The sequence below is a fragment of the Homo sapiens genome, chromosome 5, assembly GCF_000001405.40.
Source record: "Homo sapiens chromosome 5, GRCh38.p14 Primary Assembly".
Classification (NCBI taxonomy): domain Eukaryota; kingdom Metazoa; phylum Chordata; class Mammalia; order Primates; family Hominidae; genus Homo; species Homo sapiens.
The window spans coordinates 151,166,715-151,194,271 of record NC_000005.10 but is presented as its reverse complement, the minus strand read 5'-3'; the positions used below and the strand labels follow the sequence as shown (position 1 = coordinate 151,194,271).

The 27,557-nt window shown below is 45.5% G+C and overlaps 1 protein-coding gene, 1 long non-coding RNA gene and 1 pseudogene across 2 annotated transcripts in view; 2 read left to right on the top strand and 1 right to left on the bottom strand.

Moving 5' to 3' along the window:
- The window catches only part of CCDC69 (coiled-coil domain containing 69), a 43,041-nt gene extending 29,821 nt beyond the window's left edge, over positions 1-13,220 (top strand). Inside the window, exons 5-9 of the mRNA NM_015621.3 lie at positions 6,813-6,886; positions 8,148-8,249; positions 8,731-8,850; positions 9,831-9,928; positions 10,658-13,220. Coding sequence (NP_056436.2) covers positions 6,813-6,886; positions 8,148-8,249; positions 8,731-8,850; positions 9,831-9,928; positions 10,658-10,835 — 572 coding nt within the window. The 3' untranslated portion in view covers positions 10,836-13,220. The remainder of the gene's footprint in view (positions 1-6,812; positions 6,887-8,147; positions 8,250-8,730; positions 8,851-9,830; positions 9,929-10,657) is intronic.
- Positions 13,655-20,291, bottom strand: PDGFRL2P (platelet derived growth factor receptor like 2, pseudogene; annotated as a pseudogene).
- On the top strand, positions 18,813-25,687 carry LOC107986463 (uncharacterized). The gene is made up of 3 exons (XR_001742936.2): positions 18,813-19,083; positions 24,079-24,233; positions 24,713-25,687. It is a non-coding gene; the product is annotated as an uncharacterized LOC107986463 (long non-coding RNA).
- Positions 25,688-27,557: the final 1,870 nt, after the last annotated feature.

Below are 27,557 nucleotides of genomic sequence, written 5' to 3'. Positions count from 1 at the left end.
AATAGAGCTGTTCTAACATTCATGTGCAGGCTTTGTGTGGACATAGGTTTTCATTTATCTTGGGTGAATACACAGGAGTGGGATAGGTCATATGATAAATGTATGTTTAGCTTTATGAGAAACAGCTAAACTGTCTTCCAGAGTGACCACTATTTTATATCACCATCTGTGATGTATGAGTTATACCGTTGCTACTTCATGCCAATACTTGCTGTCACTGGTTTTTTATTTTAGCTGTTCTAATAGGTGTGCAGTAATCTTCACCATAGGTTTAATTTACATTTCAATAACAACTCATGTGCTTATTTGCTGTCTACATATCCTCTTTGGTCAAATGTGTGTTCAGGTCTTTTTCCCATTTAAATTAACTTGCTTGTCCTTACTGTGGAGTTTTGAGATATCTTTATATATTTTGGACAAGAGTTCTTTGTATTTGCACATATTTTCTCCTAGCCAGTGGGGTGATTTTTTTCATTCTGTTAATAATGTCTTTCACAAAGCCAAGCTTTTAATTTTGATAAAGTCCAATTTATTTTTTTCTTTGATTATACTTCTTATGTCATGTCTGTGAACTCTTTGCTAAACCCCAGGTAACAAAGATTTTCTTCAATGTTTTCTTCCAAAGCCTTATGGTTTTATATTTAGATCTAAGATCCATATAATCATGTGGTCTTTCTTTCTCTCTCTCTTTCTTCTTTCTTCCTCTTTTTTCCCTCTCCTCTCCTCTCCTGTCTTCTTTTTTCTTTTCTTTTCTTTCCAACAGGATGTCACTCTGATGCCCAGGCTGGAGTGCAGTGGTGCTATCTTGGTTCACTGCAGCCTCCACCTCTGGGGCTCAGGTGATCCTCCCACTACAGCCTCCCAAGTAGTTGGGACTATAGTGCACATCACCATGCCTAGCTAATTTTTTTTTTTTTTTTTTTTTTTTTGTAGAAATGAGTTTTTGCCATGTTGCCCAGCCTGGTCTCAAACTCAAATGAACCACTGGCCTTTCCCTCCCAAAGTGCTGGGATTGCAGGTGTGAGCCACCGCATCTGGCCTGGTTTTTCTTTAGATGGTTAATATAGTGGATTACATTTGTTTGAGTTTTCAAATATAGTTATCCCTAGGTATCCATGGGGAATTGATTCTCGGACCCACTTTGGATACCAAAATCTGCAAATGCTCCAGTCACTTATATAAAATGGCGTATTATTTGCATATAACCTATGTACATCCTTCCATACATTTTAAATCATCTCTAGATTCCTTATAATACCTAATACAATGTAAAAGTAAGGTGAATAGTTGTTAGACTGTATTTTTATTTGTATTATCTTTTATTGTTGTTTGGTATTTTTTATTTTTATTTTTTCAAATTTTTTTTATCCACACTTGGTTGAATCTGAGGATGGGAAACCTGCAAATACAGAAGGCTGACTGCATTGAACTAGCCTTGCATTCCTGGCATAAGCTCCACTTGGTTGTGTTATATTACTCTTTTTATGTATTGCTGAATTTGATCCTCTAATGTTTTACTGAGAATGTTTGTGTCTATGTTCATGAGGAATATTGGCCTGTAGTTTTCTTACACTATCTGGTTTTAGTATCAGGATAAAGCTTGCCCCATGTAGTAATGTCCCCTCATCTTCTCTTTCTGGGAGAGATTATATAGAATTGGTGTTATATCGTTTTTAAATGTTTAATCGAATTTTTCAATGAAATAATCTGTGCTTGGGCATGTCTTTCAAAGTGTTTAACAACAAATTCAATTTCTTTTTAATATTTAAAGGAATTTCAGGTTATATACTTCACCTTGGGTGAGTTTTGGTCATTTTTTTTTTTTGAAGAATTGTTACATTCATCTAAGTTGTTGAATCTAGGTGCATAGGATTGTTCAGCATATTTCCTTAATATCATTTCATATATCTGCTGTGTCTGTAGTGATATTTCATTCCTGATATTGGTCATGTGTATGTTCTCTCTTTTCTTTGTCAGTCTTGCTTGAGGTTATCAATTTTATTAATTATTTCAAAGAACCAGCTTTTGGTTTCATTGATTTCCCCACCCACCCCCCTTATTTTACCATTTTCCATCTCACTGGTTTCTGTTATTTTCATTTCCTTCCTTCTGTGTGCTTGCTTTATATTTGGTTAGCTTTTTTTTTTTTTTATTTCTTTTCATTCTTTTTTTTTTTTTTTTTTTCCTGAGACAGGGTTTTGCTCTGTCTCCCAGGCTGGAGTACAGTGTCATGATCATAGCTCAGGGCAGCCTCAAACTCCTGGAATCAAGCAATCTTCCCACCTCAGCCTCCTGAGTAGTTGAGACTATAGGTACCCCACCACACCTAGCCAGCTAATTTTTAAATTTTTAACAGAGGCAGGTCTCTCTATGTTACCCAGGCTGGTCTCAAATTCCTGGTCTCAGCAGTCCTCCTGACTCCGCCTCTCAAAGTGCTGGGATTACAGGTGTGAGTCACTGGGCCTGATACCTTTTCCTGATTTCTTCAGCTTAGAATATTGATTTGAGACCTTTCTCCTTTTCTAATATAAACATTTAAGCTATAAATTTTCTCCTAAACTCTGCTTTACCTGCATCCTACATATTGATGGTTTTATTTTCATTTTGTTGAGTTCAAAATATTTTCAGTCTTATTTTCCTTGAGACTTCCTCTCTGGCATTGAATATGTGGAAGTGCATTTCCAAGTGTTGGGAGATTTTCTGGTTCTCTTTCTGTTATTTGATTTCCAGTTTGATTGCATTACAGTCAGAGAACATAGTTTGTATTTTGCTGCTTTTATAGTTTGTTAAGGTTTGTTTCATGACTCAGGGTATGGTCGATCTTGTTTCATGTATACTTGAAAGGAATGTGTATTCTGCTATTGTTGGGTTGAGTATTTTAGATATAAATCAATTAGATAAAGTTTGGTTAATGTTAGTATTCAGTTCTATATTCTTGCTGATTTTCAGGCTGTTTTATGTGGAATGCTGAGGAGTGTTGAAGTCTCCAATTATAATGCATATTTGTCTATGTCTCCTTTCAGTTCTTTATCTGCAAATCATATAGCTACTATGACTTTCTTTTGATTAGTGTTTCTTTTTCCACCCTTTTACTTATTACCTACCTATAACATCTATTTACAGTGGGTTTCTTGTAAATAGCACGTAGTTAGTTGGTGGGTGGTTTTTTTTTTTAATTTCAACTTTAATTTTAGATTCAGGACACACATGCAGGTTTGTTACACGGGTATAGTACATGATGCTGAGGTTTGGGGTATGAATGATCCCATCAGGTGGGTTTTTAAAAACCCATTCTGACATACTCTGTGTTTTATTTGGTATGTTTAAGCCATTTAATTTACTGTTGTTATTGATAATGTTGATGTTCATAATGTTGGGTTGAAGTCTACCATTTTAGGATGTGTTTTCTGTTTGTTCTCGCTGATCTTTATCCTCTGTTTTCCCTTTCCTGCTTTTTTTTTGAGTATTTGAACATTTTTTAGTGTTCCATTTTAACTTATTTATTGTCTTTCTTACTGTATCTCTGTATTTTTTTTAATGGTTACTCTAAGAATTACAATATACTTAACAATCTACTTAGAGTTCCTTTTTTTTTTTTTTTTTTTTGAGACAGAGTCTTGCTCTGTCACCCAGGCTGGAGTGCAATGGCATGAGCTGGGCTCATTGCAAACTCTGCCTCCTGGGTTCAAGCGATTCTCCTACCTCAGCCTCCCAAGTAGCTGAAATTACAGGCACCCACCACCAGGCCCAGCCAATTTTTGTATTTTGGGTAGAGACCGGGTTTCACCATGTTGGCCAGTCTGGTCTGGAACTCCTGACCTCAGATGATCCACCCACCTTGGCCTCCCAAAATGCAGGGATTACAAGTGTGAGCCACCACGCCCGGCCTGAAATTGCTATTTTACCACATCTAATGGAATGTAAAAAGCTTACCGTCATGTAGGTTCCTCTGTTCTCTCCCATTTTTGTTACATTTATCTCATGTATTACATCTACATACATCTAATGCCCCATCAGACAAGGTTATAATTTTTGCATTTAATCATCAATCATATTTTAAAGAGCTCAAGGGAAGAACAGTCTATTGTATTTACTTAGGTCTTTACCAGTTCTGTTACTCTTCCTACATTCTTGAAGTTTCAAGTTTCAAGTTTCCCTCTGGTTTCATTTGAAGAATTTCCTTTAGCAATTCTTTTAGAGCAGGTTTGCTGGTGATGAATTCTAAGTGTCCTTCATCTGAGAATGTCTCGATTTAATCTTCTTTCCTGAAGGATATTTTCACTGCATATGGGATTCTGGGCTTTTTGTTATGGTTTTGTACTCCAAAAGAAAGCAGGAAAGAGAAAACAGAGGATAAAGATCAGCGAGAACAAACAGAAAACACATCCTAAAATGGTAGACCTCAACCCAACATTATGAACATCAACATTTTCCAGCAGTTTTTAAATTTTTTTCTTCTGGTCTCTAAGGTTTCTAATGAGAAACACACAGTTATTCAAGCTGTTGTTCCCTATATGTAGTGTACCATTTTTATCTGGTTCCATTCTACACCTTTTCTGTGTCATTAGCTTTTGGAAATGATGTTGTCTGGGTGTGGATTTCTTTGGGCTTACTTTGGAGTTCAGTGATCTTCTTTAATCTGTAGGTTTATGTTTTGGCAAGTTTGTGGAATATTCAATCATTCTTTCTTCAATTTTTTTTTTTTGCACTGCACCCTTTTTCCTCTAATTCTTTGACTGTGATGATAGTAATGTTAGCTATTTGGGCATTATCTTACAGGTCTCTGAAGCTCCGTTCATTTTTTTTTCTAATCTTTTTTTCTCCTCTATTGTCCAGATCAGATAATTTCTATTGATCTATCTTGAAGTTCACTGGCTCTTTCTTATCATCTCATCTCCATTCTGCTATTGATTTCACCTAGTGAGTTTTTATTTCACTTATTATACTTTTTAGTTCTAAAATTTCCTTTTGGTTCTTCTTAATAACTCTATTTATTTGCTAAGACTTTCTATTTTTCTATTATTCCTAAAAGTATATTCACTCTTACTTTCCTTTTCTCTTTTTCCTTCTTGCCGTCAGTGACAGAACACCCATACTTCTTGGAGTCTTTTTACATTGATTACCATAAAAACTCTGTTAATAATTCCTACATCTATAGGATCTCAGTTTAGGCATCTGTTGAATATCTTTCCTCAAGGGAGTTTTTCTTCTGCTTCTTTTTAGGCTGAGTGATTTTGTATTGTATGCTGAGAAATTTGGGGTTGTATCCTGGACATTTAAAATATCTAAATACGTGAGATTCTGGGTTTGTCTAAATCTGTTGGGTCAGTGGTACTTCAAATTCTGGTCTTCTTGCTCAGTCTGCTGCTACCATTTACTTTTCAGTCTGCAAATAACTGCAGAATTCATTCTGTCCAGGTTTTATAGCTACATTCAGTAGGAAAAACTGGATGGAGTGTGCTTCCTTCATCTTACCTGAAACCAGAACCTGTCTTGATAGGCAAATTAACAAATTAGGCCAATAATTTTAAAAAGTTAAGGCTGTAATTTTTATATGATAAATTGATATTATATATTTATAAATATTATATATTGATAAATTCTTATAAATTTTTTACTACTCTACCACAGTTATATTACTGAACATTATTTTTTTCTTCTTTTTTTTTTGGAGACAGAGTCTCTGTTGCCCAGGCTGGAGTGCAGTGGCGTGATCTCAGCTCACTGCAACTTCTGCCTCCCGGGTTGAAGCCATTCTCCTGCCTCAGCATCCTGAGTAGCTGGGACTACAGGCTTGCACCACCATGCCAAGCTAATTTTTGTATTTTTAGTAGAGACAGAGTTTTGCCATGTCGGCCAGGCTGGTCTCAAACTCCTGGCCTCAAGTGATCCTTCCACCTCAGCCTCCCAAAGTGCTGGGATAATAGGCATGAGCCACCGTGCCCGGCCTTGAACATTATTTTTTTCATCACTGCCAGATACCTGGCTCTTTGGCTGTATTATACTTTCCTGTCTCCTCTGTTCTATTTCCCATTCTGCCCGTTGATTGTCAGTTGCCCATTGTCTTTTTTCAGCTGAGACAAGGTTGGAATTTTCCAAAAGGAACTTTATGAAGGAGATGGGATGATACATACAACTGTATTGATTTGGGGAATGACGATAATTTCAGCTGTGTACAGCACCGCCCTGTCTGTGAAGCCCTTGCACGTCCTTCTCATGTGATCCTCAAATGACCCCTTTGAGACAATCAGATCCAGTTTATTGATCCCATTTCACAGTTGAGGTAACTGGACTTTTAGATGTCTGATATGATCTTCTCAAGGTCTCTCAGTTTCGGAAAGGCAGAGCCAGGACCAGGTGGATTTCCTAGCCACAAATCCAATGTACTTACTGCAGTTTTGTGCTTTAGTTTGACAACTAAGGATTTAATGATTTTGTGATTTCGCTAATCCAGTTTACAAAGCATTGTCCTATGCATTTTCCGTGGCCCGAGGTGGTCTTAGGTGAACATGCTTCCTGCAAGATCTTTGGATCTTAGCTTTAGTGAGGTGTGGATGGCACCCGCAATCTGGTAGCGTTCCTCCCAGGCTATAGTTTATTTCAATTTCCTTGAGGTTTTATTAAATACCTAGTACATTTCTGGCACAGCCCCCAAGCAAGCCTAGGAGACAGAAGGATGAATAAGACCGTTCCTAGACTCCTGGCCTCTATGGGCCCCAGTTAAATATCTGGACCTTCCTGGCCACCAAGGGGCCTGCAGAAGGCTTTGGGGAGAAGTGTCTTGAGCTTATGGAGTTCTCCTTTCCCTACAGTCCTCCGGGCCTCATATGAACAGGAGAAAGAAGCGCTTACCCACTCTTTCCGGGAGGCCAGTTCTACCCAGCAGGTGAGAGGGGCTGGGTCGTGTCAGTCTTGGATAAGGGTAAGTGAGGACCAATGGGAAAGCAGCATGGAGCCCCAAGGCAGCCAAAACTGATTACGTGTGCCTAGGAGTGAGGGGCTGAGGTGATTGCCTTCTGTGTATCCAGGCCCCTTGATGTAGTAACCAGGCTATTAGCTCAAGAGGACTGAGTGTGAAATTGAGTTGGGCCTATTTTTCCAGGGACTGCTGGGGAGATCTTGGAGAGGCATGGGCCAAGTGCCACAGTGTGATTAGATTCATGGGTGGATGCACAGGGACCTGTGGAAGGATGCAGGGAAGCATCTGACTCAATGTGGCTGTGCAGGAAAGATTTCCTAGAGGGAGTGAGATCTAAGCTGGAGTCTGAAGGATGGGTTGGAATTCTTTGGTAAAGAAGGGTAGGAAGGGTGCCTCAGGCAGAAAAAAAGCAATGTGTTCAAAGACATGGAGGAAAAAGGAAAAATATGGAATACCTGAGGAACCGAAAGATGTCCAGGATGCCTGGGGTATGAGTTTCAGTGGGAGAGGGGACTAAGGCTAAGAACGTGAGCAAGGGCCAGAGTGGAAGCCAGTGAGCCACCTTAAGGGGTTGTGCTCTAGCCTAACGGTAGTGGTCACGGTTCAAGTAGAGAAAGTTCTTGGCAGTGAAACAGTTTGGAGATAAGAATGTACCCTGCAGCTGGGGGACTATTGTGATGTTTGGCTGCAGGAGAGGATGTATAGAAGGAGCAGTGAGAGGTGAGCTTGGAAAAATTCATTGAGCCTGGTTTGGATGTGTTTTGAATGCCAGGCTAACAACCATCTTTTATAGCAGGACATTGTTCCCTGCAGTATGGGGAGCCGTTAAAGGCATTAAAGCAAGAGGTGGGGTTGGTATGTTCCTTTCATCTCCTCTCCTTCTCCCTCTCCTTCTCCTTCTCCCTCCCTCTCCTTCTCCTTCTCTGTCCCCCTCCCTTCCCCTCCCTATCTCCCTCCCCCTCCCGTCCCCCTCCCCTCCCCTCCCGTCTTCTTTTCTTTCCTCTTTTCTTTTCTCTTCTTTCTTTCTCTTCCCAGCATGCAATTCTGCACTGTAAGGGCTGGTAGATCTCAAGCAGTGGTCGAAGTATGTTGATGTTGCATTGTCATGTAGAGTAGCCAAAGACAGATTGAAGAACCCAAAACCGTTCTCCCTCTGGGATGTGGCGAAGTTCACCTACAGCATTTATGAGGCAGGCTTTGATTGTCTCCATCCCACTCCCTGCTCCAGGAGACCATAGACAGACTGACCTCACAGCTGGAGGCTTTCCAGGCCAAAATGAAGAGGGTGGAGGAGTCCATTCTGAGCCGAAACTATAAGAAACATATCCAGGTAGGTGGCAGCACCCTGGGCGCTTTTCCTCCTTGAATCTCCAGGGAGGTCAGGGCCGGGCAACAGGAAAGACCAGCCCCTCTTCAAGGACAAGACTCAGACCTGGCACTCTTACCTACACAAGGGCCTGGAAATAAAAGAGTTCCCATTTCACCGATGGGAAAATTAAGGCCCAGAGAGCAGCATCTGGAATAGTAAAGTGCTCACGTTCTGGATTCAGAGAGAACTAGGTGCACATAGCAAACCTGCCACTTAGCACAAGTGACTCAACCTGTCCGAACCACAGTCTCCTCATCTGTGGTGCTAGCACATGTCTCAAAAGGTGATATTCGGATACAGGGAGATAAAGCATATTAAACACTTAACATGGGCTGAGAGAGGAAGGTGGGTGACTTGTGAAAGTCCAACAATGAGTTGCTGGCAGAATGGGGAGGAGGGAGGTAGCCTACTGGCCTAATGAGGTCACTCTGTCCCTGTCTAGGATTATGGGAGCCCCAGCCAGTTCTGGGAGCAGGAGCTGGAGAGCTTACACTTTGTCATCGAGATGAAGAATGAGCGTATTCATGAGCTGGACAGGCGGCTGATCCTCATGGAAACAGTGGTCTGTGACTGGGAGTGGCTGGGGGATGCAGCCTCAGGCTCCCGCTTTCTGGGTGTTTCCTTTGTAAAGCATGCAGAGGGGAGGTGGTTTGAGGAGGTCCCAGCCTAGTTCACTCCAGCTTTGACCTGCCACCTGTGCTGACCACTGAGCATGGTCTGTGGCCAGGCTGGGTCAAGCAGTGGCTCCTTATCATCTGAGTCCTGTGCCTTTTGAGGCTACTGATGTTGCTGTAGCTTGGGTGACACTAGGGCAGGTAGCATTGAGAACACGGGAGGACAGAAGCCTCAGAAACCCTAGGGTTGAATCTAAGCAGAGATTATGTTGCTGTAGAAGTCTCCCTGGCCTCCTGTGTGCCTTACAACTTATAATTAAAAAAATAAAACTAAGGAGTTAACAAAAAGCTGCTGACTTTTAATTTTGCCACATGAGAATGTTTAAAAAAAAAGTCTTACAGGCACTACCATCTCATGTCACCATCCGTTCTTTTCTCAGGAAGGAAAGAGGGTAGGAGGGAGATGGGGAGCCAGGGTGTGTGCCCAGGGAGCCCTGGGGGCTTGAGTCACGTGACATGGAATCACCCACAGGGCTTTATTTTAATCAGATCATCTCAAACATTCCGTATAGATTTTGTTCGCTCATTTTTGTGGAAACACATAACAGACAAACTTAATTTTATTTATATAGATCATATCCTTCTGACTTTTGGAGAACAAAACATATTCTTTCTTCCATGAACTCATGGTGAAATGAGATGGTAGGGCCTGTAATTTTTTTTTACCATTCTCCTGTGGCAAAAAGCCGCAGCCCTTTGTTAACTTTTTAGTTTTACTTTTTTCTAAGTTACCTTATTGCTCCATGAAATGTAACATCTAGTCTAGAATGAATCAGTGCTTTCAGTGACCACAGATAAGAGGGAGGTGACAGCACACATCGTGCAGCGTGAGTTTGGCAGCTTTCTGAGCTCATTCTCATTGTTATAGAAAGAGAAAAATCTGATATTGGAGGAAAAAATTACGACCCTGCAACAGGAAAATGAGGACCTCCATGTCCGAAGCCGCAACCAGGTGGTCCTGTCAAGGTAGCTGTCTTCCTGCCTCCTTTACTCCCATCCCCACCCTTTTTGCCAAAATTCCCAGCTGGGAGAGTCTTAGAGGGGCCTGAGGAATGGACTGACAGGTGGGCCCAGGGCCTATTTAGGGAATGTGGCTCCTCTTTCCCTGGGAGTCAAGAAACCCAAGGGGGCAGTTCTGCTCAGAAACCAAAGTCCCAATGCCTTGATTAGTATCTGTTTGTCTCTGTCCTGGCTGAGTGTACTCTGTGGGAAAGCCCAATATAGGGAGGAGGAAACAGGAAATTTATAGTGCACCAGGCCTAAGTGGAATGAATCAGTTCTTAGGGCTTAGTAAATAAGAGCTAGTATCATGTGTCAGACATAATTTATTGAATACTGTACATATTTTCTCATCTAATCCTCATAATTACTCTAAGAGCTGGGTCCTATTCTTCTTCTTCCCATTTTACAAATGAGAAGACTGAAATTTAAGAAGAATGAATAACTTATTCAAGATTATATAGCTAAGTGGTAGAGCAGAGATTTGAAGCAGCTCAGAACTGCCTGCCTGTCTGTGAGGCCCCCGCTCCTTGGTCAACAGATTGAATTGCCTCTTGTATACAGGCCAACAAGGAGGGCAGTGGGGACCCTGCAGCAGGCTGCTGGTCCATCTAAGGAAGGCTTCCTGGGGGAATGGGTTGGTCTCTGTGGCAGCTGCTCCCAGTAGGCAACCCTGGGCTCTGTGTGCATCCACAGGCAGCTGTCAGAAGACCTGCTTCTCACGCGTGAGGCCCTGGAGAAGGAGGTGCAGCTGCGGCGACAGCTCCAGCAGGAGAAGGAGGAGCTGTTGTACCGGGTCCTTGGGGCCAATGCCTCGCCTGCCTTCCCTCTGGCCCCTGTCACTCCCACTGAGGTCTCTTTCCTCGCCACATAGGGTGCAGGGCCTGGGCCCACCACGACGCCTGAAGTCACAGCTCCTTCCAAGGTTTTTCTGGAGAAGACAGCAGGAGCCTCTCAGTTCTTTTCCAGGAAGGAACGAGGGTGGGAGCGAGATGGAGATCCTGGGTGTGTGCCCAGTGAGCCCTGGGGCCTTGAGTTACATGGAATCACCCACAGGGTTTTGGAGGCCCCGAGAAGCGTCTTCCCTTGAGTTGGCCAAGGGAATAAGCAAGAGGAGACATTTCCTCCCTGCCCCAGCACTCTGTCCCAATCCGAGAAGTTCCGAGGCTTTCCCAGGGGCAGTCTGTGTCACGCTGGCCATTTGACATAAAGGAGACAGCCCCTGGTCCCAGCTTGTCAGCTCTGCTGCCGACTTGCTGACTTATCAACTTCCTCTAGGTGTTTCCACTCCACCCTGGCCTGCTCAGAGCCTCAGTTTACCCCTGCATTAAAATGGTGGGGGGACTGGTCAAAGGACTCTTATGTCACTGCAGTGTCCCATTCTAGGATTGTCTGAAGGCCAGAGTAGGGGTTGGGGGGAGTGTGGACAAACCCCGCAAATCAGAGTGGGGAAGGTGAGTGGTAGAGAGGGGGTCTCTGAAGGCCCTTGGGGCTGACAGGGCCAGGCAGCCTCCCCAGCTGAGGCATCATTCCTGGGCCAGAGTCGTGTCCACCAAGGGACAGTAGCCAGAGCTCCTCTTCCTTTACCAGGCAAGGTGCATCCCCTCAGCCCTCCTGGCCCTTCAGTCTTGGTGCCACCTGGGCACAGGGGCAAGCTTGGTGGTTGTGAGTCCATTCATCTATCAGAGCTGGAACCTCATCCCTGCACAGATGAGGAAACCAAGGCATGGAGCAGTTCCCAGAGTCGAATCTAGATCTCATCTGTCATCCGGGTCTTATCCTTTGCTCTGTTTTTCTCTTCAGGCTCTGGAAAATCAGATCTGTGACTTAATCTTCCTCTCCCTGGCCCTCACCCACTTAGTTTCTTTTTCATTCCTGCTCCCTGCCTTAACTCCTCCTCCCACTGCCCCTGATCCCAGGCCCAGGCTTTTACAACCTGGTGCTCAGCTTCCCCATCAGTGAAAAGGGGTGGCTAGAGTAACTAACCTCAGCAGGCCGTCCAGTCCTGATAGTCTGTGGATTTCGGATCCTTCTCAGGAAGCTTCATGTCTAATGGAGACTATAATTATAACTCCTGTTCTGCATAGAGCATTTGCATCAAAGGCTTTCCATACCCCTCCCTCCCCTGGTCCTCATAAGATCCTTGAAGCAGGTTCCTATTCCTCATTGGCAACATGGCAAACAGATCACAGGAGTCAAAGGGCCTTGCTCAAGGTCCCCAGCTTCAGCCCCAGGCCCTAAGCCAGCGTCAGAACAGTCAATCTGCATTTTTCATCAGTCATTCTATAGTGACATCATCCCAGACTGCCTTCTGTATTCCCCTGTGTACAGTCTCCTTCTGTTTCTAGGTTTAGAAGTTCAGAGGTGACTGTGTTTCTCCATTTCCACAGCCAAATGGGGGAAGAGGTGAGGCTAGGGGAGTGCTGTGCTGATTCTCCAGCCATGGTCAGACAGGTCACCCAGGAGCCTCGAGGAAAGCCCTGGAGGGAATCACATGTGTACTTTTTCATGAAGCTTTTTGCAAAGCACATCTGCGATACACTAGTTTATTGAACTAATGTCCAGGAGTAGACATGATTGGTGGCCAAGTTATTTGGGGACACCTAAACAGATCAGTGACCTGAATGACTTCTCAGAACCTTTAATATGCCAATGTGTGTGGCAAACTTACAAGAAGGGAGCTAAGTATCCAGCCTCTCCCAAACCTCTTTGAACAAAGCTTCTGTCCCTCCCACACCTCTCACCTCACAGGCACATCAGGCTGCAGAATGCGCTTTAGAAAGCATTGTTTTAGTCCAGGCACAGTGGCTCACGCCTGTAATCCCAGCACTTTGGGAGGCCGAGGTGGGTGGATCACAAGGTTGGGAGATTGAGACCATCCTGGCTAACACAGTGAAACCCTGTCTCTACTAAAAAAATACAAAAAATTAGCTTGGCGTGGTGGTGGGCGCCTGTAGTCCCAGCAGCTTGGGAGGCTGAGGCTGGAGAATGGTGTGAACCCAGGAGGCGGAGCTTGCAGTGAGCCAAGATCGCGCCACTGCACTCCAGCCCGGGTGACAGAGCAAGACTCCGTCTCAAAAAAAAGAAAAGAAAAAAGAAAGCATTGTTTTAATTGAGAGGGGCAGGGCTGGAGAAGGAGCAAGTTGTGGGGAGCCAGGCTTCCCTCACGCAGCCTGTGGTGGATGTGGGAAGGAGATCAACTTCTCCTCACTCTGGGACAGACGATGTATGGAAACTAAAAAGAACATGCGGCACCTTATTTATGTGACTTTTGTGTTTTTCTGGGAGGGTGGGGAGGTGGGTCTTCACAAGGACTTCTGCCAATGGTGGGGATCTCTGAAGAGTAAATCTGGGGCCTGGGTAGCCCACTCGTGGTTCTGGGCACTCTCCTCAAGCACCAAAGCCCCACTGGCCCTTGCTTTGCCCTAATTGTGGATGTGGGGCCTGGGGCTAGGGTGAAGCCTGGATTAAAGGATGGCCTTCAAAATAGACCAAGGCTTGGAGTGAGGCTGAGGTTGAAGTAAGTGGTGAAAACAGAGGGATGGGGTGGGAGAGACTGCGAGGATGAATGAGAAGTCACCTTCTGCACTGCAGGACCCCTCTTTGGCATCAGAAACACTGATGTTCCCACAGGTACCTACCCCTGATTCTGCCTATTGCTCCACATCCAGATGCCTGTGGCCAGGGAGGGAGCTAGGAAGGGGTAGAGGAGACACGAGGACCTCGAGTCACGTGGACATGGGTGGTGGCCAAACCAGTGCCCTGAAGGTTGGTGGCCCAGCAGGTGTAGACACCAGCATCCCTAGCCCAGGTCCCCTCCACATACAGGGTGCCCTCTGCCTCCTGCTGTACCTGGCTCTCCCCGTGTACCACATGGGCCTGTTCACTGATGTAGAGTGGTTGGCCCAACGGTAGGGGATAAAAACGGACTGTCCATCAGCTGCCCCAGGTGCATCTCTGACTCACACACCAGGGTCAGGTAAGAGGCACCATTTATCTCTTTGGGGAAAGGAGAAGTGACTTGCCCAAGGTCACACTTCAGCTTGGTGTCAGAGCACCTTAAAGGCCAGGTTCTTTGTGAAAAACGTTAAGCTTCTCAAGTCTGCAGAGAAAAGCTGGGTTTCCCTCCCCTTCTCAAAGAGTGTCCAGAGGTAACTCAGTCCAGGGAAGTACTTCCCAACGTGGGTTTTGTGGCCCTCTGCTTCTGTAGGGATGCTACCTCCTCAAAGGAGAGGAAGAGGAAGAATTTTACTACCAAAAGTGTTTTGGAAACATTAAGAAAAGCAAAGTGAAATTGGGTAGACTCCGACCACTGAGTCTGTTACATGTACCTGTGTATTTTGAATCTCCAAGACAGGTAATGGTTATAAGAGGAAGTGAGGTAGGGTGGGAGGGAACTTTCTGGTATTCCACCCTTCTAAAGAACATGTTGGGGAAATCCTGGTAAAGCCAAGCCAGTGTCTCCTGACCGTCTGTATGCTCCTTTCCCCTTCTTGGGTCTCAGTTTCCTCTTCTGACAAGTGGGAGAATGATCCTTTACCCTTTCCAATGCCTAAGGCCTCTGTGGAGTTCACCTTTATCACATCCTTGCAGCCACTGCAGGGAATGGAGAGATGAACTCGGGAAGTCGCTATGTGCCAGCTCAGGCTACACAAATGACTGGAGCGAGGTGGAGCCAGAGTGTTTTAAGTTCGGGGGGAACAGGGCACCCTCACTGGGTTCCACAGGGCACCCTCACTGGGTGCCACTGGCCTCCTTTTCAGGGCTACTGAAAGTGGTGATCTTGTCAAATCACAGCTTGTAGAGCACCTTGTTTCCCTGTCCTATACTGTTCTTAAATGGCCTCCAGCTGGGTGATAGCCCCTCATGGGTCTTTCTGAGCCACTCTTTCCCTGGGACCCATACAAGATCAGCTCACTGCTCACATGTCATTGATGGCTCCTGGGAGTCTCAAGAATGATGCTTGAGTTCCTGGGCCCACATGCTCCCCTGCATTCTCCACAGGTGGCAGTGGTGGGACAGATGAGTCTCTGGGTCTCATGTGGGTGTGACATGTTCGCCCTTATTCTTTCTCCTAGTACCACAGGTCTGGATCTTCCCCCTCCCTCTCCACAAGGCTCCTGTCAAATTCCAGCTCTTCCAGGAAGTCCTCTTACAAATGCCTCAGGTCCTCCAGGTTGGTAATATACCTTTTAGCACAGCCGTTCTCCAGATGTTTGAATTTCATGGGAGTAAGTTCTTTGAGAAGAAAGAAACACTACCTCTCCAACACCACTTGGGAAGGTCTGATCTCACAGCAGATGCCAAGGAAACAGTTGCTAACGTTCATCTCCTGTTACACATACACACCCAGCCACAGAGCCTGAGCATTTGCTCCAGCACCATCTTTGTGTGGCTGAGGCCAGTCTGGTCTCGGCTTGAATGTCACCTTGGAGATGACTCCCTAACCACTATATCTTAGGTAGACCCTATCGCATTGCCCTGTTTTATGCTCATTGTATCATTTGGCATTGTCTGCATGGTCACTTTTGTCCATATTTCACTTCTCCCTGCTTAGATGATAAACTTGCAGATAGCAGAAGCCATCTCTTTTAGACTCATCCTCATAACCTTAGTACCTAGTCCAGTGTCTGGCATGTGGCAAGTGCTCATTTTTGGTTAAATTAAGAAAGGAACAAATTATGCATTCTTACGCAGTAATCTGAGAAGTTACTATTTGAAAGATGAGAAAACTGGGGCCCAGAAAAGGGAAGTGATTTGCCCTAGGTAACTCAGAGAAGCAGCATCAGAGTTGGGACCAGAATCCAGGTTTATCAGATTCCCAGTCAAGCAGTAGCTCCATCCCACCATGATTGCTCTTGGTCCTAACTAATCCTTCACTCCCACCTCCCTGCCCCAACACTCCACCACCATGTACACACATACACACAGCCTCCATTACCCGCTGCTTACCTTCTGCCCTGAATATCCCTCGCTAAGGTCCACAGCAATCTCTGGCTCGGCCCAGAACCATGCAGGTCACACTGAAGTTTTCTCCTAGTTATACTGATGTTGCTGAAGCTTGGATGGTGGGTTTTGGGGAGGAAGATGGGTCTGCCATGGTTAAGAGGGTAGAGAAGTTAGAGACAAACATGTTGACTTGATTGTTAGAATTGTTGAATTGATGGTAGATAGAGGGATGGAGAGATGGATGAATAGAATGAATGGGCAGAATGGCTAAATGGGTAGAGGGTGAATGGTTGAGGTGGTTGAATTGATAGAGGATGTGTAGATGTATGAATGGGTAAAATGAATTAATGGAGTATGGGTAGGTGATGGAATGATTGACTGATGGAGGATTCATGCATGGAACAGTTTGACTTGATTGTGAATAGGTCAATGGATAGAAAGGCTGAGCTGGTATCAGCTGGTTCCATGGCTGATCGGCTGGCTGGACAAAACGGCTGACTACATAGAGAGTCATCAAAAGCTGATGTTGTTTAGAGCTCCATAATCCACAGAGCCGAAACCAGAGGTTCCTGAAGAAGGTATATCTCCCCATATCCTCCCCTTCCCTGCCCACCCAGAGCCCTAGACCCATGTGCAATTGATATAGACCAGAATGTACTTGGTAGAGATTTGTCTCATGCCACCTAGGCTGGCCATGCATAAGAGGGAGCCAGCCAAGGAAGCCTGGGCCTGGTGAATAGTGAAGCCCTTCTTCACATCAAAGGAGATGTCTGTCTCCCACTGGGACCTCCTCAGTGGGGAGCTCCCAGTGTAGTGCCATCTGGGCCAGGGGGTTTTTAACTTGGAAGGGAAGCAAGGCTGGATGATGAGTGCGCAGCTGTACCACCTCATAGTAGTTATCTGTAGGGACAAAGAGCTCCTCAGGGTCTGGGAATGTGGGGAAAAAGATTTGTTGCTTCCCAGTGGCTCTATTACCACCCAGGAGCATGAGGTCTTTCTTGGGGACCTGAAACCTCACTATCTCTTCCCATCCCCATTCTCTATGCTCCTTCCTGTCTCATAAGGAAGGGGTCCTGGACTGAGGATGCTGAAGACAAACTTCCTAGTTCCAGATCTGTCATTAGCTTGCTGTGTGTATTAAAGAAATCTTTCCCTCTCTGCACATGCAATCATGCACAATGCAAGGATTCAGACTGCTTGATCTTTAAGGGCCCTTCAATGTAAAAAATGCAAAAAAGGTTATAGGACGGCCGGGCACGGTGGCTCATGCCTGTAATCCTAGCACTTTCAGAGGCCGAAGCAGGCGGATCATGAGGTCAGGAGTTTGAGACTAGCCTGGACAACATAGTGAAACCCCGTCTCTACTAAAGATACAAAAATTAGCCAGGCATGATGGTGCGTGCCTGTAGTCCCAGCTACTTGGGAGGCTGAAGCAGGAGAATTGCTTGAACCCGGGAGACGGAGGTTGTGACGAGCTGAGATCACGCCACTGCACTCCAGCCTAGGCAACAGAGTGAGACTCTGTCTTAAAGAAAAAAAAAAAAAAAAGAAAAAAAGATTACAGGAAATACTGAACTTCTTGAAGTCAAAGTTTGGTTCCCAATCCTACCACCTGCTAGCTGTAGGACCTTGGTTCTCAAATGTCAATTGGGAGCAATAATCCCACCCCAGCTTACTTCATAGAACTGATAAGAAGCAAATGAGATATTGGCTATGAGCATGAGGCCCATGGGACAAAAACATTCATCAAACTCTATCAAGAGACTTTTTATTTTATTTTTTTGAGAAAGAGTCTTGCTCTGTCACCCAGGCTGGAGTGCAGTGGTGCCATCTTGGCTCACTGCAACCTCTGCCTCTCAGGTTCAAGCAATTCTTGTTCCTCAGCCACCTGAGCAGCTGGGATTACAGGCGTACACCACCATGCCTAGCTAATTTTGTATTTTTAGTAGAGACGAGGTTTCACCATGTTGGCCAGCCTGGTCTCGAAATCTTGACCTCAGGTGATCCGCCTGCCTCAGCCTCCCAGAGTGCTGAGATTACAGGCATAAGCCACCACGCCTGGCCTTCAAAGTACTTTTTAACACCACAATCTCAGGTCAGATTCTTGGGTGCACTATGATGTAACGAGCAGGAATGGTCTGGGGACCAGCTTTTAAGAGCGGTGCTGTCCAATGGAACTTTATGTGTTGATGAAAATGTTCTGTATTTATGTTGCCCAATATGTAACCACTCAGCATATGTGGCTCCTGGACACTTGAAATACAGTTAGTGCAGCTGGAGAACTGAATAATTAACTTTCTTTAACGCTAATTAACTTAAATAGCCACATCTGTTTTGTGGCTTATGTATTAGGTGAAGTTGGAATCACCTGAGGTGCTTTTAAAATGACCAATTCCTGACCCCCAGACCAAGTGAATTAGAACTTGCCTTGCGGAAAAGGGGATTGGTGTCTGTGCTTTAAAGTTCTACAGGTGACCCTAATTTGCAGCCAGAGTTGAGAAGCGCTGACTGTGGGTTCCCACCTCTGTCTGAAGATTGGAATCACCTGTAGGGTTTGTTGACATGGCAGGTGCCCAGACTCCACACAGTCTTAATGGGAGTGAGGCCCAGGAATCTGTTTTCAACAGGCTCCCAGGTGATGCTTGGTAGTAGGGGTCATGAACCTCTAGATAGGGCTGGGCGCAGTGGCTCATGCCTGTAATCCTAGCACTTTGGGAGGCCAAGGCAGGAAGATAGGTTGAGTCCAGGAGTTCAAGACCAGCCTGGGCAACATAGTGAAATCCCATCTCTACAAAAAATACAAAAATTAACTAGGTATAGTGGTATATACCTGTAGTCCCAGTTACTTGGGAGGCTGAGGTGGGAGAATCACCTGTGCCCAGGAGGTCGAGGCTGCAGTGAGCTGTGATCATGCCACTGCACTCCAGCCTAGGCAAGACCGTAAGACCCAGTCTCATAAAACAAAACAAAAGCAATAACCTCTCGATTGGATAATTGTTACTGTTTTGGTTGCATTTGAGTAAGAGACATTGCTGACTATGAAGAGTCCTGTGTTTCCTCTGTTGGACAAAGCTGGACTCTGTGACTACTCAGTTCTCCATGGAACTAGCCATAGAATCTTTGAATGTCCGTGAAGGATCTTGGAGGACTAGTACACTCCCCTCATCTTACAGGTGAGTCTAAAGAGAAAGCCCAAAGAAGGTTATGTTTGGAGGACTTTCCTGGACGCAGGTTCTTGGAGACCCTGACTCCAGGGCACCTGTGAAGAAGATGAAAGTCTTTCTCTGGTAGGCCAGGCATTCAGCGCATGCGCCGTCCTGACAGTGCGGAGCCCAACAGCTATATTCCCCGGTGTCTGCGCCAGAGGAGTTCACCAGCAGCAGCTGGCTGCACTGGCTGAAGTGCTTGATTCTGAAAGACAGATGGTAGGGGCGGGACGGGCAGGCGATGGGGATGGCCCGATACTCCTAGTGGGCAGCATTTGGTCTACTGACAGTCCTCCCTCCCATCACCAACTTTCATCACCCACCCACCCACCCAATCTTTCCCCCTTTCTCAATGGATCTGTTAGGATTTGCATTGGCCCCACCCGTAGTTTCTGATTGGCTCGCCTAACCCTCCTTCCCTTTGACTTTGCACTTCACGAATGGAATGCCACAAGCGTCTTTGTGCTCCTCGGCACCTTCCTGATGTCTCTTGGTGCAAGCCTGCAAATGCTTTCCATGCACTTCCACCCACAAAGGAGGCAGAGTCCCAGAGCCATCTTAAGAGGCTGAAGTGAGAGAGGATAGGCGAATCTTTGGAACCCAGTTTTCTATCCCAGCCTCTGCCTGATTTCCTTCTGGACTGGCAGAGGGAAATACTGGTGGGTCAACTTTGCTTTCATTTTTGGCCTCCCTATTATGGTGTCCTTGGCAGAAGAGTGGTATTCAGCCTGCCATCCGCCACAGATAGGTCAGACAGGCAGGCAGCCTCTTGCTTTTCCATTGCCACGTCCCTCCCTAGAGGCACTATTTGTGGTCCACCCCCTACCCTCATTTAAGCAGCCCAGGATTGTGGGAAGGTTGCTTGTCTCCTACTCTGTTCAATCACTATGCATCTGATGGGGCTCGCGGGCCCATCTTACTGTTTCTTTTAGGTGCCTATGGTTGTACATAACAGGATGCCCAGTGTGGGTCCTGAGCCATCTTAATCCCTGTAAACTGTTGTCACTGTGCTTGTGAACTGCTGCCCAACATCCTCTGACACACTCCTAGACCCATTAAAATTTTGCCAGAGTTCTTCCACCCCATACCTCAGGCGTCCTTCGCCCCTCCTCCTCCAGATATACAGGCACCCTCCAGTGGACCACCTTCCCCCTGCAGTGCTGTTCCAGGGGCTCAAAGAGTCCCCAACCTTCGGGAATCGGGCCTTCCCTACACCTGGGTCAGGTGGGGGGCTTGGGGTTGCAGAGGCTATAGCCTCCATGGGGGTCTTCATCTGCATGGGCTTCTGGCTCCCGTCTGCTTTGGGTTTTCTCTGGCAGGGGGCTCCTGAAAGCTGCACCTCACTGGGGCCAGCTGCTTTGGAGCCCCTCATTTTCTGAGCCTTTGGAGTTCTGCCATGCTCCGGGATTTCACCTGCAGAGAAAACAGGGTGGGTCTGGGATCACCAGCCTTCATTCACCTCAGTGGAACCTCAGAGTTCTGTCAATTTTTACATTTATTACTACCACAAATAATTCTTACTCAGAGAAAAAATTATACAGCTGGCCAGGCGCAGTGACTCACGCCTGTAATCCCAGCACTTTGGGAGGCCGAGGTGGGCGGATCATGAGGTCAGGAGTTCGAGACCAGTCTGGCCAACATGGTGAAACCCCGTTTCTACTAAAAATACAAAAATTAGCCGGGTGTGTTGGCTCATGCCTGTAATCCCAGCTACTCGGGAGGCTGAGGCAGGAGAATCGTTTGAACCCAGGAGGCGGAGGTTGCAGTGAGCTGAGATCCTACCACTGCATGATCTAGCCTGAGTGACAGAGAAAGACTCCATCTCAGAAAAAAATAAATAAATAAAAAATAAATTATACAGCCAAACCAAGACAAAGGATTAAATTTGCTCTGAAGCTTATCATCTAGAGATAACCACTGTTAATATTTTGAAGCATATTTTTCCAAGGCTTTTAAATGCAAATATTTTAAATATTTTGTTAAAAAATAAAATGGAAAATGTAAGACATATTGTTAATCTGCATTTTCACTTAGGAATATGTTATTATCATTCTATGTCAAGAAATACATGTGCACCAACATTTTATTTTATTTTTTGAGACAGAGTCTCACTCTGTTGCCTAGGCTGGAGTGCAGTGGCACGATCTTGGCTCACTGCAACCTCCGCCTCCTGTTCAAGTGAGTCTCATACCTCAGCCTCCCAAGTAGCTGGAATTACAGGCTCATGCCACCACACCCAGCTAATTTTTGTATTTTTTGTAGAGACGGGATTTCACCAGGCTGGTCTCAAACTCCTGACCTCAAGTGGTCCGCCCACCTCAGCCTTCCAAAGTGCTGGGATTACAGGTGTGAGCCACCGCACCCTGCCTACACCAACTTTTTTTTTTTTTTTTTTGAGACAGAGTTTCACTCTGTCACCCAGGCTGGAGTGCAGTGGCACCATCTCGGCTCACTGCAACCCCTGCCTTTCAGGTTCAAACAATTCTCATGCCTCAATCTCCCAAGTAGCTGGGACTATAGGTGTGCACTACCGTACCCAGCTAATTTTTGTATTTTTAGTAGAAACGTGGTTTCGCCATGTTGGTCAGGCTGATCTCAAACTCCTGACCTCAGGTGATCCGCCCACCTCAGCCTCCCAAAGTGCTGGGATTACAGGCATGAGCCACCACGCCTGGCCCTGCAACAACATTTTAAATGACCTGCATGGTATTTTATGGTAGGGATGTATCATGATTTATTTCTTCATTGTTGAGTATTTAGGTTATTTCATATTCTTAACCGAAATAAACAATTCTGGAATAAACATCTTGTGCATGCACCTTTGAATAGATCACTTCCTTAGAATGAATTCCTTAGAAGGAGAACTGCTGGTGGGCCCTGGAAGGGATTCTACACATTGTTTTTTCCAAGCTTGTACCAAGATTTCAAAACCTTCTAGAATATGCTACAAAAGAGGTCATTCAACATGAGGTTAAATATGCCTAATGATAGGGAACTCAGCACTTAACAGTACCAATAGCTACCACTGGCAAAGCCTACAGTATTTCTGGAACAGTACTAGCCCCTTAAAATACATTTTCTTATTTCACTCTCTTAATGACTGCAAAGAAGGTATTCTGATTTTACAGGTGAGGCATGTGAGGCTTATAGAGACTAACTTTTCCACATTCTCTTGTACTGTGCCAAGAAGGAGACCCAGACTCAAACCCAGGCCAGCCTAACTCCAGAGCCCATTGTAGTCCCACCTGTGGCCTTAGTGCAGAATGGATCCAACTGCTAGGAAGCCCTTTTAGATATCGACCTACTGATCTCATTTTTCTTCCTTGTGGAAGAGGAAGAAAAATTGTCTTTAACTTTTACCAACTGATCTCATTTTTCTTCCTCATGGAGGAGGAAGCAATACTGTTCCATGTGCCTCTCTGCCACCCAGCCCCAAATCATCTCTGCATACAGAGAAGGTTGCACAATTTGTGCCAAGTCCTGAGGCTCTTTTTTTTCCTTCCTAATAGTTCACAGAGGCATCCTTTTCTCTCCATCATTACTGCTAACACCATCTGTGCAAGCCCTGGTCAGATCACATCTGGACTATTATGTTAGCCCCCTGTTTGTCACCTGGCCTCTAACCTGCCTTACACACAATATCACATACATCTTCTTTTTTTTTTTTTTTTTTTGAGATGGAGTTTCACTCTTGTCGCCCAGGCTAGAGTGAAATGGTGAGATCTCAGCTCACTGCAACTTCCCCATCCCTGGTTCAAGTGTTTCTCCTGCCTCAGTCTCCCGAGTAGCTGGGATTACAGGGACCCGCCATCTCGCCCAGCTAATTTTTGTATTTTTAATAGAGACAGCGTTTCACCACATTGGCCAGGCTGGTCTCAAACTTCTGGCCTCAGACAATCCGCCTGCCTTGGCCTCCCAAGGTGTTGGGATTACAGGTGTGAGCTACTGCGCCTGGCCTTTTTTTTTTTTTTTAAAATAGAGACAGAGTCTTACTTTTTTGTCTAGGCTGGTCTCAAACTCCTGGCCTCAAATGATCCTCCCGCCTTGGCCTCCCAAAGCACTAGGACTACAGGCATGAACCACCATACCCAGCCCTCATCTTTGAGATAAAGAGATAAGACTAAACCTGAGGTTTTCAGGTTTAAAAACAAACCAATCGATAGGTTGATTATAGATAACAGAACAATTCCTTGAAATACTGAAAGGTCAATGTTAAAAAACAAATAATCGGGTTACTCTGATTGGAGAGGATGGGAGCTGGAGACCTACCCATCAGCTTCTCAATCACCACCCACCCTTACTCTAAGGCAGGCAGTAAGGCAGCAGAATTCCTCAGAACATGGTTTTAAATCCTTGGACTACATGAACTCTCAGGGCTCCTTCTCACTGCTCATGACCTATCTATCTGAGCTCACCTCACTCCCAGCACCCCCATTCTCCAGTTCCTTCTCCTTCCAACAAACCCACCAACCCCAACCATCAGCCCTTTGATAAACTGCTACTTTCTTACCATGAAGGTGCCTGCCCCTTTCCTTCCATATGAGGCTCCTTGAGGAGAATCCAACAGCCAAGCAGTATCTGGAAGAGGAAATCTGGGATGACAACATCCCTCTAAATCCTGTTCTGAGCACAGCCACGATTTTGCAGGGATTATTATGTCCCCAACCTCTTCCTAGAATGTCTGGAAGCTGAGAGACAGAGGTGATAGCTCTCTGGGGCCTCAGCCTCTCCTGGGGATCTATCTGCTATCAAGTTCTGGGCTATAAATTCTTCAGGCCCTGCCCTCGATAAAGCCCTAAAACTGTTGATCTTTGTGAACAAAATTATAGATGCTTAGATTCAAAGAAGCTAGGAGTAAACACTTAGGATCGTAGGATTATATAATCTTAGTATGATGAACTCAGGGTGTTTTCTGTTTTTTGTTTCACTTGTTTGCTTGTTTTTTTTTTGTTTGTTTTTTAGCGACAGGGTCTCTCTCTGTCACCCAAGCTGGAGTGCAGTAGCACAATCATAGCTCACTGCAGCCTCGAACCTCTGGGCTCAAGTGATCTTCCTGCCTCAACCTCCTGAGTAGCTAGGACTACAGGTGCACACCACCATGCCTGGCTAGACTCAGGGTATTTAAAATTAAAATAATATTGCTATTATTTATTGAGTGTTTATGTACTAGGCTGTAGGCTAAGCATTTATATACACCGTTTAACTTTAAAACCACCCTGTAATTTTGAGGTTATTGTTATTCCCATTATATTCCTAAGTAAACTGAGTCTTAGAGACTCAGTCTCATTAAATCTTGCCAGTTAGTGGAGGAGCCAGAATTAGTTCCATCAGATTCCAGAGTTCCATGCTCTCCAAACCATGACATGAGTCCCAGACTGCTAGACTAAAAATGATCTTTCAGATCAGAGGGGACCATTAGGTCTGGAAAAGACCTGGAAGAGCACACAGTTCAACCTTGTCATTGCATAGATGAAGAAGCTGAGCTCAGAGAGGTGATTTGGCCAAAGCAGCACAGTGAGCAAAGGAGCTGAGCGGGGAACTCAGCCTCCTGACATCAAGGTTCCGGTGCTCATCACCCTTCCTTCTGCTCCTGCAGGGAAATGTGATTGCACCACTGCACTCCAGCCTGGAGTGCTCCCGGGAAATGAAGAGACAGGGGCCTCAGGACACTGCAGGGGAATAAAAAGATTTGCTGAGATGGAAGATGCCCATACCTGAAATGACCTAGATGAGCAGGCAACAGGCCAAGAAGCAGAGAACTCTGGGGTCCATGGCGGAGCAACCAGAAGCCAAGACGCAAATGTTGGTAGCAGGGAATGCAGGAGAGAGACTGTTGGGGCATGCTCAGGGAAGTGGCCAGGGACCCCTGTCCATGGGAGGGGAGGGGACCTAATTTCAAAAGCAAATCAAAGTGGTGAGTCCTGGCTTCTCATGACTCCAAACAAAATTCCTTTCTCTGGATTCCCCCTGCCAAGGCGAATGGAGCTATTTAGAGACCTGCTCAGGAAAAAACAGTCCTGCAGCCAGGAGGAGAGGGTCCCCAAGGGCAGACAGACAGGGCTGGACGGCAGCTGGAGGGGCCATTGAAGGTCACAGGAAGGTCATGGGGGTGCTGAAGGACAGGAAGATGAGAGGACAAAATAGGTGAGTGGGGCTAGGAAGGTGGTGAGGCTTAAACTGGCCTTAAAGCCGTGGGCCGAATCTGGCTGGTTGTCTGCTTTCGCATAGCCTGTGAGCTAAGAATGGTTTTAACATTTTTAAATAGTTGAAAAAAAATTAAAATTTGGTAACGTGAAAATTGTATGAAATTCAGGTTTCAATGTGTGTAAATAAAGTTTTATTGGAACACAGCCACACTCATTCCTGCACGTCCCATCTATGGCTGTTTTTGCACTACAACAGCAGAATGGAAGAGTTGGGGCGGAGACAGTGCGGCCCACCAAGTCTAAAATATTCATTGTCTACATTGTTACAGAAAGTGTTTGTTGGCACTTGCGCTGAAGTATGGTATTTCTAGAAAACAATCTCACTTAAATAATACAGAAATAAAATTCACTCTCAGAAAAATACAGATAAAGTTTAAGTTCCATTTGACCAACCCATCAGCCCCCTCCCAACACACATGGCCATCCCCACCTTTCCTCAGAGGTTAGCGCCTTGGTGTGTTTCCTTTCAGACCTTTCTCTGCATTTATGTACCTATATGTGTATCTATAGAAAAATACAGTATTTTCATGAGTTCTTTTTTCTGTAAATGGCTTTATATTATATATATGTTTTTTAAAATTTGCATTTTTTTACTCAATAATGTGCTTTAGTGCCCTATACAGACCTACCTTTGTTCCCCCCGATCACCTGCCTTTTTTTTTCTTTTTGAACAGGGTTTCACCATGCTACCCAGGCTGGAGTACAGTGGTGCAATCCCAGCTCACTGCAGCCCCAATCTCCTGGGTTCAAGCAATCCTCCCACTTCAGCTTCCTGAGTATTGGGACCATAAGTGCACACCACCAGACCTGGATTTTTTTTTTTTTTTTTTTTTTTTGGAGCAACTGAGTCTCACTATGTTGCCCAGGCTGTTGCCCATGCTGGTCTCAAGCTCCTGGTCTCAACCTTCATTATTTTTTAAATGCTGCATTGTACTCTAAGGTTGAGCTTTACCACAGTTTATCCATTCCTTTGCCAAAGGAAATTTAGATTGTTTCAGTTTTTTGCTACTGGAAACAACACTGCAAAATGCAAGAACTAGCATTTCAAGGCTCAAATAGCTACATTTTCCTTCAAGAAAATGAAAGAATGCTATTCAATCCAAACATGTCACCTGATGTATTTTCCCTCATGTGTGTTTGTGTCCTAAGTAACCACCACAGGGCAAACCTCTCCAAATGTAGCTGTAAGATTCTTGCTCTCCTGCAGAATTTTGTCTATGTCCTAACTATTGCTTGTAGCCAGTGGAAACCCTCCCAGGTTCTGGTTGAAACAGTATTCCCTCTATAAAATCAATGACCATTCTTGGAACTAGGGAGGTAGGGTAGAAAGCAGCAGAGAATGGGACGCTGGGGAGCTTGGGTTCTCGTTATCGCTTTGCTCCTTGCTGTGTGACCTTGCACAGCCTCTTCTCATTAGGCCCCAGTTTCCCGGCCTGTTCAAGGAGGGTGTCGGGCGCCTAGAGTTCTGGCCTTCCAGGGCTTTACCATTCTCTTTTCAGTGACCAAGTCCACTGAAAAGGAGGGGAAGGGCTTTGAGAGGTGATTGCTTAGCTTCCAGCCTCACAGGCTTATGAATCTCAAGGAAAGTGCTGGGAGCTTGGCAGGCCACCACCTTGAACCCAAGTTCTAGCTGATGGTTTCCCAGGGCAGAGATTCCACAAAAAGAGTATCCACGTGTCCCAGATAACGCTCATGCAGGACCCGCCCAAGGCCCCGTTGTGCCCTTGAGCCCAAGGTCCTGGGTCTAGACTGTGAACTGTTGTACGCTCTCAGAGCGCCCTGTTCCTCTCCGTCCCCCAGCACTTATCATGGTTTGTAATTTTATGGAATTTGTGTAATTGAGTCGTGAATGTCTGTCTCTGGGCTCGTAGGCTCTGAGCTCTCCAAAAGCTGGGACCAGGTCTGCTTTGCTCATGCTTTGTCCCCAGTACCTTAGCACAGCACCTGGCACTTTGTGGGCACTAGACAAATACATGCTGTGAATGAATAGCTGATACAGGCTGGTTTCAATAGCAGAGACATGGCTCAGCCTTCTCTTCTAATCCAAGGCATCCCAAAGAGGCCAATAACGGAGGGGTAGGAAACCAAGCGGGCAGGGCACACACGGTCCAGGCAACATTATGAAATTGGAAAGGTCACTCCCTTCTCAGGTGTCAACCTTGAGGTGGGGCAGGTGGTATGGAGTGTTTGAAATAGAAGACCTTGGGAATAAACACTCATGGAAACTTTGAATTG